This window comes from Homo sapiens, chromosome 11, assembly GCF_000001405.40.
Source record: "Homo sapiens chromosome 11, GRCh38.p14 Primary Assembly".
Lineage (NCBI taxonomy): Eukaryota > Metazoa > Chordata > Mammalia > Primates > Hominidae > Homo > Homo sapiens.
Genome location: NC_000011.10, coordinates 61,000,080 through 61,014,056, shown reverse-complemented (window position 1 = coordinate 61,014,056; position 13,977 = coordinate 61,000,080). Strand labels below are relative to the sequence as shown.

Here is a 13,977-nt window from a genome sequence, read left to right as displayed (position 1 = left end):
TCCTCCCCAGCCCTCCCACACCCAGGATGGGGGACATCCTACCTTCTTTGGGGATGGTGATGGGGACCGGTTGATAGCTATTGCTCCCTGCCGGGATGGTGGTGGGTAGGTGCTGGTGGTTCACCATTACGGGGAGGGCTGAGGGAGGGGAGGCAGAAATTCTACAAGTCATTTTTTTGCCCTCTCCCAGTCTACCTGGTTCCGTTCTGTTCTCATCGACACACCACCCTCCTCATTCCCCCAACACTTGCAGGCACATGTGCGCGCGCACAAACACACACACAAACACAGGCACACACACACATGCACAGTCTGGTTCTCCCCGCTGGTGCGTCCATGACTGCTGGGCATGCTGGGAAAATCCTTTCCACCTTGGGGATCTCCCCAGGGCCAGGGCCGGGTGGTCATTGCTGGACCACGCCACTGCTGCTGGGGTTCTGCCAAGGCTCACATCCCCCTGGGATGGCCATGGCTCCCAGAACCTTGCACTTACCATATTTTCCTTTAATTCTCAAGAGGATGAAGGCTATGAAGATGAGGGAGCCAAGGAGGAGAATTCCCAGAACGATGGAGGGGATGAGGAGCATTAGCTCCCGAGATTCCTTGTTCTCTATTTTCACTGTCACAGAAGATTCTGGAAACAAGAATTCCAATTCAGGAAGAAAGAGGAATGGGCACTCACCCTTCTTCTTGCCTTTCCATTCTCTGTAAAGCTGACCTGCTTCCCTTTTTATGTTATCTTCCTCCTTGCTTCCTTTTTCCAATTTTCTCATTGCTTTTAAGTGTGTGGTGTATATTAGGCGCTCAATAAATGCATATTGAATGCATGAGCAATTGATTAAATGAATTACTGCCTGAAATAGAACTCTGGCCACCAGGCTGCAGAGATCTATCTGTCTGCTAGCTCTTCAGTATGTAGTCTTTGTTCAATAGACAACTATTGAGTACCCGCTGTGTGCCTGGCCCTAGACCCTGGGGCTACACATAAGACAACAGTATCACAGGCCTTGAGGGGCTTTGTCTAGCGGAGAGATCAATAAGTAACCCAGTCCAGTATGATGAGGCACCCGCTGTGATGGAGGTTTGAACAGCGACACTGGGGGCATGAGGCCCTACAAAAGGCACTTCATTCTCTGTGAGGGAAGACCAACGCTGACTTCCCAGAGACAGTGACTCTGAGCCACCTCTGGCAGTGAACAGACCATCAGAAGAGCTGTGCCTGAGTCCCCCCTCCTTCCCACCAGACATCCCCTCCATGAGGACGGGAGTGGGGTCTGGGATTCAGGGTCTCCCACCTCTGCAGCCCCACTCAGGGGTGACTTCTTGCCCTCCCCCTCCCTCAGCCTCCCCTCTGCTTAAAAGAATGTGAAGCACAAGAATGGATACAGGGGTCAGTGAGGAGGGTTCCTGGAGTGAGCAGACCACAGGGCTAGATGACTAGTAGTGACAGCAACGGGGAGGGAGATGAGATCATCCAGACCTCTTTGCTGGGGGCAGAGTCTGCTTCCCCTGGGAGAGAACCCTCTCCCTGTCTTCATTTTCTCCTCTCCCCGTCTTCATTTTCTCCTCTCCCCTCTCTGTCTGCAAATGGGGAAGTTTGGGCCAGGATGGGAGCTGGATCTGGCAGCAGGAAGCAGATGTGAGAGTGAGGCTGGGTGTTGCGGCCATGGGGAGACCCGTGAATGTGGGTACAGAGGGCCGTGGCCGAGGGAGGGGCTGATGGACCAAGGGCCGGGGTGTGGTCCCTGGATCTCTCTTTGTGCTTCACTCTTTGCCCTTCCAGGATGGCGTGGATCCCCACTCCAACCTCAGGAAGAGAAAGCGTGTGCAGGTTGCCTGCGGGGCCTGGCAGGAGCTTGCCCGGCAGCCTGTGCAGTTGTACATTTCATTTCCTCTCTGTGCTGTCATCTATGGCTAAGGCCTCTGTGCCCTCTCCCCAAACCCCTGTTCACTGCTTCTGGGTGTCTGAGAGAAGATGACAGAGAGCTAGGAGGCAGAGCAAGGGAGTCCTGTGGGTATCCCAGGACTGCAAAGGGGCTCAATGCCTGAACTAAATACTCATAGCAACAGCAGACTTTCGGACAGTTCTTACTGTCTTTGAGGCTCTGTTCTAAGTGCTTTACAAAAATTAATTCACTGGAGCCTCACAGCAATGCTAGGAGAAAGTACTATATGCTTATCACCCCCATTTTATAATTGAGGTGTCTGAGGCTCAGAGAGGTTCCGAGTTGCCCAACAGGGCACAGCTAGCAAGAGGCACAGCTGGGAGTTGAGTCCTGGGAGTCTGCTCTGATGCCAGCCAAGCTACACGCAGCTGGTGGGTAGACCAAGAATGGATCTGGAATTCAGAGCCTTGGTTGTCAGTTCTGGCCAGCAATCTCTAGCTGTGACTTCAGCCTCGGAGCCTCAGCTCCTTTCTTGATGTAAGGGTTATAATAAGACCTCTCCCATTTGGCTACCAAGAGGATTAAAGGGTTGGGAAATAATGGCTATAAAGCCCTAGGCCCAGTGTCTGGCCGGTTATGAACACAGGGCTGTGTGCTGGCATTCCCGCTACCCAGCTGGGCCAAGATCACCCTCCCCCTGCTGCCCCGACCCTGACCCCTGCTTGAGGTGGTATCAGCTCTCTCCAGCTCTTTCCTTCTGCCCTCCAGCAGCTCACAGGAAAGTGGGGGAATGGACTTCTGTCCAGGAAGTATCAGGACTCAGTGATCTATGGGCTGACTTGGCAAGGAGGGGATGTAGAAGGAGCAGAAATGCCACCCAGAGAGCCCCGGGGAGGCAAGTCCATTGGCTGGAGGTGGAGGATGAGGACCAAACCATCCTCCACCCCAACACAGGTGTGCACAGGAACACACACACACACACACACACACACGTCCAAGCTTCTGAGAAACCGCGTAGTACCCAGCAACACTTACCTATAGTGACTGTCTGAACACTTGCAGGGACTTCGGGAGTGGACAGATTGTGCAAACTCCGGGAAGCTGTCAGAAAGCACCGCCCAGTCACTCAATGCATGTTACTGAGCACCTACTGTGTGCCAGGCCTTGGGTTAGAAACTGAATGGGACAGACAAGTGACCCAGAACTAGGGTTGTGCTCCCATCAGGGACACGTGGCTAAGGAAACTTACCTCCCTCCCCTACCCCACCCCCCACAGTAAGGAGGAACTCATGGATTAAATGCTGGGAAGGCTCTTTGGTTAAAATAAAGGGCTAATAGAATTATCCCTTCTTTCTGTGTAAGCTGCTACAGACCACAAATCCGTTTTCCATTCAGTTTCAGTTTGTTCTTAATCAGCCTAGGGAGATGAAGAGCGGACATTATCTTCATTATCATAATCGGCATTCCCGTTGGGCAGGTAGGCTCACAAAGAAATGAGCTTAGAAGTCCCTCAGCAGATACTATCAGGTTTCCCAGCTATCCTGCGAAGTGCCTAGTATCAGCATCCACACATGGAGGTTAAGGGACTGTCGGAAGCCTCCTTGCTCGTAAATGGCAGAGCTGGAATTTGTAATCTGGTGTCTGAATGCCGTAAGAATGCAAATACCATGTTTCTTCAGATCTATCTAACACTCACGTTTTTTCAAACTTTAACACGTCTGAAATTGGGATAATGGCCTCAGTCATTACGTTTGGTGGTTTATTTTGGCAGTGTTCGTTCTTCTTTATGGTACATAAAATAATAATGGTGTGACATAAACAATGCCATCTTAGATTTGGCGAGATATGGTGGAACCCAACTCATAGAGTGGGTATGAGGCTCAGCTGAAATAAGAGCTACTTAGTGCTTAACAATGCCTAGCATATGATCAGGGTTCCAGAAGCTGTCACCGATATTATTACTAGGGCCTGCTAATATTATTTTTACTATCATCACCAGGCCTGGGATGGCAAATTGGTGTCAACTCTTGAGTCAATCCCAGTCAAGAGGAACCATTGCTTAGCATATAATGTCTTCATATATGATTCATCATTCTGGGGCTGAGTGGAGCATCTGAAAATACCTCGATGAATTAGCACTGTCTGCCTGGGCACCGTAAGGACAACAGTCCTTCTTATGCCATATGTGCCATTGCCGATCTGGTGCCTATTGTGGTCCTTGGACTGTAAGTTTTTAGGACATGGATTCAGGTAGAATTCTGGCTCAAATCTGGGGGGGTGGAGTAGGATGGGGTACCTGAGCAGAGGACCCTGGCTGCCAGCGACTGGCTGCAGAGGTTGGAGTTGTTGAACCGCCAGGAGCAGTTGGAGAGGGTGAGCTCCTCCCCATTGCATGAGTAGTACATCCTGCCGGACAAGGAGTGGGGCAGCCCCTTGGGCCTCTCAACCGCAGTTCCACAGCCCAAGGACTGGCAGAGCACCTTGGCCTCCGATGGGTACCACTCACTGTCACACACTGTGTTCCAGACCCCTCGGAAGTGTACCTCCACCTGCCCCTCGCAGCGGTCAGCGCCCCCTGTCAGGCGCCAGGACTGGTGCTCTGCAGGGAAGGGGCAGGGGACAGAGTCAGGTCAGAATCCTTTGGGCAGAAATTCCCGCCAGCCCAGACCCACCAGTGCAGGCACCAATGCAGCCATTTGGTCTCCAGATCTTGTGTCTTCTCCCTCCTGTGTCTGTGTCCCCCTGTCACCTGCCCCATTTGCTCTGGCCAACCCTGCTGTGATAAGTGTGGTCTGTGGAGCAGCAGCATCGGCATTGCCTGGGATCTTGTTAGAAACGCAGACTCTGGAGCTCTGCCTCAGACCTACTGAATCAGAATCTACATTTTAACACCCCCACCTCCCCCATCTCCTGCTTATCAAAGAGAGGCACTGGCTGGTCCAGAACCTTCTGGCCCCACCTGGACAGACCAACAGCCTCCTCAGAGGCCTCCCTCCCTTCAGTCTCCCCTTGCTGCTTGAATGCAGGTGGCCAACTCCCACTCGGGAAGAGTCTCACTTTTAATGTCACCTCTTCCGGGAGGTGGTCAGCCTTAGCCTACAGCTCCGCATGGTCTGCTGCCTCTAGACTCCACCTGACTGCCTTTCTTGGGGGCATTTACCACTTTCTCTCCTGAATTATGTTTGTCTCAGTCTCATCTCCCCTCCTGAACTGTGACATCTCAAGGGCAGGGACCACCTCTCCGGCACTAACTCCAGGCTTGGCGCCCAGTAGGCCTATGGTGAGTGTTGGTAGTGACCGGGCTTCAGTGACTCCGCCCACTGACCTGAGCACACCGCGCCCGCGTCCTCTTTGTGGCCGCAGTAGTGCTGTCCTGGCAGCCCCGGGCAGTCCCACAGGTAAGCTTCGGCCCCCGAGCAGTTCACCTGGTCCCGGTGGATAGGCCCGCGGCCGGGCGTGAAGTGCAAGCCGGGCAGGGCCTGGACTGCCCAGCCGCAGCCCAGTTGCCTGCACACCACGTGGGCGTCCTCCAGGTCCCAAGTGTCATCGCACACTGATCCCCACTCGCCATGCTCCAGCATCTCCACGCGGCCGGCGCAGGCGCCGCCACCGTCCACCAGGCGCAGCGCGCGGTTCTCTAGGGGTGGGAGGGGGTTGTGGATGCTGGGGCACCCGACCAGGAAGGGAGGGTTGGGGTGATGGTTGGACTGGCCGGAGAGTTGTGAGCGTGTTGTGGACCCAGTGAGAGGGCTGTAGCCCGGTAGGCAAGACTGGGAATCCCCCCAGGACTGCAGATGGGTTAGGTAGAGCCGCAGGCTGGTGGGAGGGACCAGAGACCTGGTGGGCGGGGCCTGGAGGGCAGGTTTGGGAGCCTGGGAGCCACAGCGCTTAGGGACCCTGTGAACCTGGCATGTTTATGTATATGGCGAAAGGGGAGGAGAGACCCAGAGCGGGCGGGGACAGGGAAGCGGCGGGCCCAGTAAGTGGGGTTAGAGACCGGGTTAGCTTTGGGAACCCAGGGGTGGGACTAGGAACCAAGTGTGGGGGTGGAGTCTGGAGGCCAGATCCAAGGAAACGCTCAGATCTGGAAATGACTCGAGGTCGTCCTCCGGTGTGGGAACCCGGTGCGTTTGCACTGGTAGGCGGTGGGGGTGGAGGTCTGGAGGGCGAGGCTTGCGTCCAGGGTCTGGAGCCAGGGGCAGTGGCTGAAGGCCTGGGGAGTGGGGCAGGTGGGGGCCCGTGTAGGGGGTGCGCTCGTACCTGCACAGGTGACACGGGCCCGCCTCCCGTCGCTGCGGCACGCGTGCTCCACCACCTCGCAGAGCCGCCACTCGGCGCCGCTGCACAGGAGGGCGGGCGCCCCGGCCAGAGTGGCATTAGCTGCTACGCTGGTGTTCCCGGCTGCAGGCGGGGGCGGCAGCTCAGGGGTCGGCGGGGCGAGCTGAGAGGCGGCCTCCGCCCCGCCGCAGCCCAGTGCTCGGCACACGGCCTCGGCGGCGCGGCTGTCCCAGAGCGCCCCGCACGCGGGCTCCCAGGACGCCTCGAGCCGCACCTCCACCGTCCCGCTGCAGCTGCTGCTCCCGTTTGTCAGACGGACCGGAAGCCGCTCCCCTGGAAGTGTCAGACCAGAGAGCTGAGACCGGTGGGGCCTGGGCAGAGGGTTGCCCAGGCTCTGCCACTGACTCTGTGCGTGAACTTTGACAACGCCCTGCCTGGCTAGGGGTCTCAGCTTTCCAGTCTGCAAAATGGAGCCGGGCTGGCTCATCCCTGAGCCCACCTTGAGGCCTGACCCTGTGGTTCTCCTTAGAGTCAGCCGAAGGTGGGGCTTGGGAGTGACTCTAGAGGTTAAGATGGGTGACAGACAACTAGGGGTCCAGCCCCCTAGAAACCCTCCTCACTTGCTCCTGTCTCCAGGGGCACCCGTTTGTGAAAGAAAGGCAGAGTTGTGAGTTCAGGGGCCCTGGTCCAGTGGGCGCATGCTTCCCCTGAAGGCCCCTCTGCTCCTCTGAGGGTACTGTCCTAGAGGCTGTCACAGTGACTAGGGAACCTTGGAGGATTGTGAAGCGGCTGGCCATGGGGTTGATGATGGGCTGCTTCAGCTGATGGTGGTCCTCACTTCCCCAGAACCCCTTCTATGGGAACCACCTGCCCCTTTTAGCCCAGGATTGTACCCCCAGTGCTAGCATGCATCTTTGCATACAGTAGGTCCTTAATAAACGTCTGCTGAGTAAATCAAGGACCCTGCCTCCCCCACCAAGAACTCTAGCCTGTTCTCAACAAATCCCCTTAAAATGCTCCAGGCATACCTGCCCACCTGTATGTGACTTATCAGTGTCCTCTCAAAAATGGTAGTTCTACGACCTCAAAGTGAATTGATAGTGGAACTTCAGGTGATGGGTCAGGAAGAAGTGTTGTCTGAAGTCAGGGAGCCTCCCTGGTATCCTAAATGTCCATTTCCCTTCTTTATTACCCTGGGGGACCACCTACAGAAAGCTGATCATGGACCCCCAGAGGGAATGTTTGCTCACCTGGCTCCCAGAGCTCACTCTCTGCACTGCTGGTGTTGAGCTGGTCAGGTGGGGCTGGAGATGGATGACCTGAAATGAACCAGCAGCAGCATGGTGGGTGAGTGAGCTCAGGCCTGGAGACCACAGAGACACCCTGATGAGCAGGGGGCACTTCCTGGAGCCTGTGGTGGCTACATGAGGCCTTTGGAAAAGACGTGGTCCTCAACTTTGGGTGCATTGGCCTCCCTTCAAGGTAGGGAAAGTTCTCAAACATTGGCATTTCAGGATCCTCCGCTTTACCTATTCATTGCACACACAGCTTCAGAAATCGGAGTAGAACAGGGAGGAAAGGCAGTGGGCACTGGGGCCAGACACACAAAGTGGCTTCGTGACCATGAATGGGTGACTTAATCTTTCTGTGCCAGTCCCAATTTTTCAGCTATGATTCTTAGGAAAATATTGTGAGACTGAAATGAGACAGCCTATGAAATACTTGACATATAGAAAAAGCTCGAAAGTGGGAGTGATTTAGAAAAAGAAAATTTTGTTTATAGAATTTGTTTGAGAATTTCATATCAGACTTTAGAATAATTGACACATCCTGGACTGGGAACCACTGGATTGCAAAGTGCCTTCAGACACTAAGAAACTAGCATTCATGAAGGACAGGTATTTGCATATTTGCATATATTGTTCCATTTACTTTCTTTCTTTCTTTCTTTTTTTTTTTTTGAGACAGAGTTTCGCTCTTGTTGCCCAGGCTGGAGTGCAATGGCTTGATCTCGGCTCACCGCAACCTCCACCTCCCAGATTCAAGCGATTCTCCTGTCTCAGCCTCCTGAGTAGCTGGGATTACAGGCATGCGCCACCACGCCTGGCTAATTTTGTATTTTTAGTAGAGACGGGGTTTCTCCATGTTGGTCAGGCTGGTCTCGAACTCCTGACCTCAGGTGATCTGCCTGCCTCAGCCTCCCAAAGTGCCGGGATTACAGGCATGAGCCACTACATCCAGCCTATTCCATTTACTTTCAACAATGCAATGAGGCAGGTGTTAGCATTCTTATTTTACAGATTAGGAAAAGGAGGCTCCAAAAGCAAAAATCAGTTGTCCCTGCCAGATAGGGTCCATTTATTCCACCAGAGCTACTATCCATTCTGCCCTGGGAGGCTGATCTGTTTGGATTAACCCCTGTCTTCCTGGGCCTTATGGCTTCTGTCAGATTCAGCCAATGGGGAGCCTTAGCAGAGCTAGGCAGAAGTGAGGAGAGCGAAGATGTGACACTTATTCCTCTGGCCCCCCCTGTGAGGTCCCTCGGGTAGGCTGTGTCCCTCATGTGAAGGACATTGCTTATTCAAGGTGACCTCTCCTTGACTGTCTCCTACTCGGACTCACTGACCACTCCCTGGTTGTGTCTCCTTTGGCCAGAAGTTGCTCTTAGATTCTACTTACTGCATTACCCTTTGTAAATAGTTCTTCTGTAAATAAGTCCCCTTTAAATTCCTATTCTAGGTTTCCTGGTGGGAACCCAACTGATGCGTGGGCCTGAGGCCACCCAGTGAGCAAGCTGCAGAGCCCGGATTTAAACTGTCTCCAAGGACTTGCCTCCCCTCTGGGCTGGGATGTTTGGGCTTGCAAAGCACAAAGGGAGGCTCTGGGGCAGGGACTGTTGTGGTTGCCTATGAACTCCTCTGCATTTCCTGGTTTCTCTTGCACTTAGGTTGGGCTGGTTGAAGCCTAGGCAGAAGACGTCTGCCTGCTTTTGAGCCAAAGCAGGGAAGAGGCAGTGAGCCATTTCCATTTACGTCTTCCCTGTTGAAGGATATTAGAGGCCCTGGGTTGCGGAGGAACTGCAAGAGGGAAGGGGATGTTGACCCAGCTTGGATTTTGTGTGAGTAAGGAGTAAGCCCTTATCATGTTAAACCATGAAGATTTGGGGGTGTCCTTGTTGCTACAGCCTTGCCTAGTCCGGCCTGACCGATACAGAGCCTGAAGACTCGGACATGACCACTACACATTCCTGGAGCTTCACCTGAGCAGATTCCACGGACATACCCCCTGAGCCTGAGCTTGTGCATGTGCGCGTGCACACCCTGGCAGACAGCCCTCTCCAGGAAACCGTGTGGGCCTCTTCATCATCAGGCAGAAAGTCTTCAGCCCTCTAATTGCCGTCCTCGCTAACTCCCTGGCTGGCTGCCCAGCCTGAGCCCCTGGAGGAGAAATGACTCCAAATTCAGAGCATAAACTCTGTGGCTGATGTATTAGAATGTTCAGCGCAAGAATTCAGATGCCCACAAGTTAGGATTTCAGAATCCCGGTTCCCACAGCAACCGTCCCAGTGCTCCTGCGTAGTTTTCAATGTTACTACATGGGGTGGGGGAGGGGGATTGAATGATGGCTGCAGTGTGTATGACTGTGAGGTGTGTGCATATGAGTGTGTGTGAGGGACTGTGTGCATATGTGATTACGACTGTGTGTGTGAATGTGATGTGTGTGGGGCAGGGGGGCTTTAGCTCTGCTCTGTATCATCTCTCTCTCTGGGTCTGGAAAACCACTTTCTCATGCATAAAGACAAAAATGTGTTCTCCTAGATCAGAAAACCCTAGAGGGCAGGGCCCATGGCTGGGTCAGCCCTGTGTCCCCCACAGTGTCCAAGGCAATGTTTGTTGATTGACTGAATGAATGAGCAGCAGCTGCCAGCTCCAAGGCAGCTGGTTGAAAGCGGATAACCTCGAGGGCTTTATTTTTGTGTCAAGCATTCTCCCATCCCCTATCCCAAGAAGGGAACCTGGCTTCTCTGTTCTCTGACTTCTGTGCTACAGGAACAAAAGCAGAAATTACCTGGAACCGTCTTTCCATCCAGGCCTCATTTCACAGAGGGCCGAATGGAAGATCAGCGTTTCTCAGACATCATTATCACCTTTTTTGTTTTGAGACAGTGTCTCGCTCTGTCGCCCAGGCTGGAGTGCAGTGGCACAATCTCGGCTCACTGCAACCTCCACCTCCTGGGTTCAAGCGATTCTCGTGCCTCAGTTTCCCGAGTAGCTAGGACTACAGGCGCTTGCCACGATGCTGGCTAATTTTTGTATATTTTTTGTAGAGACGGGGTTTTCCCATGTTGCCCAGGCTGGTCTCAAATTCCTGAGCTCAAGTGATCTGCCCACCTCAGCCTCCCAAATTGTTGGGATTACAGGCGTGAGCCACCACACCCGGCCCATTGTTACCACTTTTGCCTGGCCCTGTGCCTCACACTTTTCTTTAAATTGGTTCACTTTTTTGCTGCAATAAATTTATTTGAAAAGGAGCCTGCTATGGTTTGAATGTGTTCCAAGGTTCATGTGTTGGAAATTTAATCCCCCAATGACCTGTGTTGAGAAGTTGGATGTTTAAGAATTGATTAGGGCTGGGCGTGGTGGCTCACGCCTGTAAGCCCAACACTTTGGGAGGCCAAGGCGTGTGGATTACCTGAGGTCAGGAGTCCGAGACCAGCCTGGCCAACATGGTGAAACCCTGTCTCTACTACAAATACAAAAATTAGTCGGGTGTGGTGGCACATGCCTGTAATCCCAGCTACTCCGGAGGCTGAGGCAGGAGAATTGCTTGAGCCTGGGAGGTGGAGGTTGCAGTGAGCTGAGATTGCGCCACTGCCCTCCAGCCTGGCCAACAGAGCGAGACTGTGTCTCAAAAAAGAAAAGAAAAGAAAAGAAAAGAGTTGATTAGGTCATGAGGAGTCTGCCTTCATGAACGGATTAATGCTGTTATCACAGGGGTGTGTTGGTTATTGCAGAAGTGGTTTTGTCGTAAAAGTGAGAGTTCCACCGTCCCTCGCTCTGTCTCTCGTGCACTCTCTGGCCATGTGACGCCTTCCATTGTGTTATGATGCAGAGAGAAGGCCCTCATCAGATGTGGCCCCTAGATCTTGGGCTTTCCAGCCTGCAGAACTATAAGAAATAAATTTCTTTTTGTTTTAAATTACTCACTCTGTGGTACTTTGTTATAGCAACACAAAACAGAGTAAGAGCAAACTTTTACCCTTTCCTGTGAATTTGCTTTTTTACATCATTAAAGACACCTGATCATAAAAATGTTCACTGCAGATTTTTTTTTTTGAAACAGTGTCTTGCTCTGTCACCCAGGCTGGAGTGCAGTGGCGTGATCTCGGCTCATTGCAACCTTCACCTCCTGGGTTCAAGCAATTCTCCTGCCTCAGCCTCCCAAGTTGCTGGGATTACAGGCACCCACCACCACACCCTGCTAAATTTTTTTGTATTTTTGGTAGAGATGGGGTTTCTCCATGTTGGCCAGGTTGGGTCTTGAACACCTGACCTCAAGTGATCTGCCTGCCTCAGCCTCCCAAACTGCTGGGCATACAGGTGTGAGCCACCGCACCCAGTCCACTGCAGATTTTTGAATGGCAAAATGTTAGAAACAGAGTGAATGCCCATTCACAGGGGAAACGGCTGAATCAATTACGGTCCATTTACAGCATGGCATCTTATGCAGCCTTTATAAAGAATGAAATAGACCCAGATGGGTTGGCAGGATTTCCAAGCTGTGTTGAGTAGGAAAAGCAAGATGCAGAGAAGAGAATATAATATGATACATTTTTTGTGAAGCAAGGCCAAAAAACCCCCTCTGTGAACTGGTATGATTGCAGGAACATGAAGATAAGTGTGGGAGAACACACAGCAGATAATCAAAATGGAAAAATTAAGAGTGGGCTTCAGGGGAAGGGGCCAAGCAGGGCCAGCTCCACAGGCTGGTGGACTGTGCACAGGGCCCCGTGCTTAGAAGGACCCGGCCTTTGCTTGAATCCTCTGCTGTTGCCATCTTGAAATTCCTCATCATTTGTTGAACCAAAGGCCCTGCATCTCCGTTTTGCACTGGGCCCTGCAAACTATGCAGCTGGTCGTGGGACACAGTCACAGCCATGGAAGATAGGGGGAGGAAAAGCAAGCAATGAAGGTAAAAGGCTGTACTTTAAAAATCATGTATGATATGATTCTATGTATGTAAAATTAGGTATGTATGTTGATATGAAAAAAATAAGAAGATATTAAAACCTAAAGGGACGATTTATATGACTTGCTTAAAATAGAAGGTAATTGTAAAAACAAGCATACTAAAAATAAAGCCATGTTAGAGATGTTAAAAGACACATCATCGGCCAGGCACGGTGGCTCACGCCTGTAATCCCAGCACTTTGGGAGGCCAAGGTGGGTGGATCACAAGGTCCAGAGTTCGAGACCAGCCTGGCCAATATGGTGAAACCCTGTCTCTACTAAAAATACAAAAGTTAGCCAGGCGTGGTGGCAGGTGCCTGTAGTTCCAGCTACTCGGGAGGCTGAGGCAGAGAATCGCTTGAACCCAGGAGGCAGAGGTTGCAGTGAGCTGAGATCACGCCACTACTACGCTCTAGCCTGGGCGACAGAGCAAGACTCCGTCTCAAAAAAAAAAAAAAAAAAAAGACACATCATCATCAGACTATCTGATAGAATCAGAAGGAATGACAAAACATTGAAAAATAATAATTATTTAAACTTTTATTGCCACATGATTCAGTGTTATTTAATGCTAAGTTCATTTACCACCTGAAGTTATACTGTGTGCCCCTGAAAATCATCTCTAGTTGTGTCCCAAATTCTGGAAAGTGATGGAACAAGACAGGGAAGGGATGGAGGGGAGCGGCTGGTTTCAGAATAGGAGAAGAAAGAGGTTGGGAGTGCCGACCCCAGCCCAGGAAGGAGGCGGCTTTTTCAGGCCAGTCCCATGCAGAAGTCCCCGAGTGGGACAGAACCTCCAATGGGGTAGTGGGAAGAAGACTCCAGTGGAACGGGCTGCGGAGGAGACTGTAAGCACAGGAAGAATGAAGGCACGAAAGAGCCTTGTTGCCTGGAATTTGAGAAAACGGAACGGGACACTGATACTCCTGTTGTGTCACCCAGGCTCCTGAGATGTCCCATGGGCATCTGAGAGGTGAGGGACTTGTGGAGAAAGGAGGCATAGACATCGAGGGAAAGCTGAGCCTCCCGCTGGCCAGCCCAGTGTCAGAGCAAGCCTGGTGGGGAAACAAGGCACTCCCCAGAATGCCGCCCTGGCCGTGCCCAGTGACCAGTGTCAGGTCAACACCAGCTACACCTGAGGTTACTTTCTGTCCTCCGGCACTGTCAGAGGTGCTGAGGAAAACACGGTTGCATCCTGAATGCTCGTTGAGTGGATGATGGATGAAGAGATGCTGTACAGAGCCAGAGGCAGGGTGGAAAGGGACGATGGAAACATGGAGGTGGAATCTACAAGTGGTGCAGCCAGGTGCATGTGTCACCTGCTAGAAGTATAGTTAAAAAAAAAAATCAACAGAAAGTGTTTGCAAACACAGATGCCAACAGCCTTAACAACAACAGCAAACCAAGCTCTTTCAATCCAGTAATTCCACATCTGGGAACTTATCCTAAATAAAACTATCTCAAGTACCATACTGCCTGGAGACTAAAGTCCATGCTTTGGAACTAGATGGTTCTAGATTCCCTTTTCCATCCACTGGAGCCCCAGAATGCTGTGATGTGCTGGTTTTTTATATTTATATTTA

General features: G+C 52.2%; 1 protein-coding gene and 1 long non-coding RNA gene across 18 annotated transcripts in view, besides 4 other annotated features; one reads left to right on the top strand and one right to left on the bottom strand.

The window, feature by feature from the left end:
- CD6 (CD6 molecule) overlaps positions 1 to 13,977 on the bottom strand; it is a 48,698-nt gene that overhangs the window by 6,321 nt on the left and 28,400 nt on the right. For 8 of the 17 annotated variants that reach the window (NR_045638.2, XM_047427881.1, NM_006725.5 and 5 more), the window contains 7 exons: positions 7,415 to 7,483; positions 6,147 to 6,497; positions 5,212 to 5,523; positions 4,183 to 4,485; positions 2,922 to 2,987; positions 494 to 634; positions 43 to 138 (listed from right to left, as the gene is read on the bottom strand). Coding sequence is in view for 16 of the 17 variants with exons in the window: in NM_006725.5 (NP_006716.3) it covers positions 43 to 138; positions 494 to 634; positions 2,922 to 2,987; positions 4,183 to 4,485; positions 5,212 to 5,523; positions 6,147 to 6,497; positions 7,415 to 7,483 (1,338 nt within the window). In the remaining variant the exon portion in view is untranslated. The remainder of the gene's footprint in view (positions 1 to 42; positions 139 to 493; positions 635 to 2,921; positions 2,988 to 4,182; positions 4,486 to 5,211; positions 5,524 to 6,146; positions 6,498 to 7,414; positions 7,484 to 13,977) is intronic. The other 9 variants (XM_011545362.3, XM_047427876.1, XM_047427879.1 and 6 more) reach the window with 3 other exon arrangements.
- Positions 463 to 1,052: an enhancer, noted in NCBI's record as "NANOG-H3K4me1 hESC enhancer chr11:60780477-60781066 (GRCh37/hg19 assembly coordinates)". NCBI's record gives its function as "activates a minimal SCP1, AML or CMV promoter by ChIP-STARR-seq in naive and primed H9 embryonic stem cells {active_cell/tissue: H9 hESC(naive and primed)}" and the evidence as "EXISTENCE:reporter gene assay evidence [ECO:0000049][PMID:30033119]".
- Positions 1,053 to 1,642: an enhancer, noted in NCBI's record as "NANOG-H3K4me1 hESC enhancer chr11:60779887-60780476 (GRCh37/hg19 assembly coordinates)". NCBI's record gives its function as "activates a minimal SCP1, AML or CMV promoter by ChIP-STARR-seq in primed H9 embryonic stem cells {active_cell/tissue: H9 hESC(primed)}" and the evidence as "EXISTENCE:reporter gene assay evidence [ECO:0000049][PMID:30033119]".
- On the top strand, positions 5,946 to 10,695 carry LOC105369326 (uncharacterized). The gene is made up of 2 exons (XR_950155.3): positions 5,946 to 6,010; positions 9,112 to 10,695. It is a non-coding gene; the product is annotated as an uncharacterized LOC105369326 (long non-coding RNA).
- Positions 6,085 to 6,793: an enhancer, noted in NCBI's record as "H3K4me1 hESC enhancer chr11:60774736-60775444 (GRCh37/hg19 assembly coordinates)". NCBI's record gives its function as "activates a minimal SCP1, AML or CMV promoter by ChIP-STARR-seq in primed H9 embryonic stem cells {active_cell/tissue: H9 hESC(primed)}" and the evidence as "EXISTENCE:reporter gene assay evidence [ECO:0000049][PMID:30033119]".
- Positions 6,144 to 6,343: a silencer, noted in NCBI's record as "silent region_3383". NCBI's record gives its function as "represses an Ori minimal core promoter by ATAC-STARR-seq in GM12878 lymphoblastoid cells {active_cell/tissue: GM12878}" and the evidence as "EXISTENCE:reporter gene assay evidence [ECO:0000049][PMID:35858748]".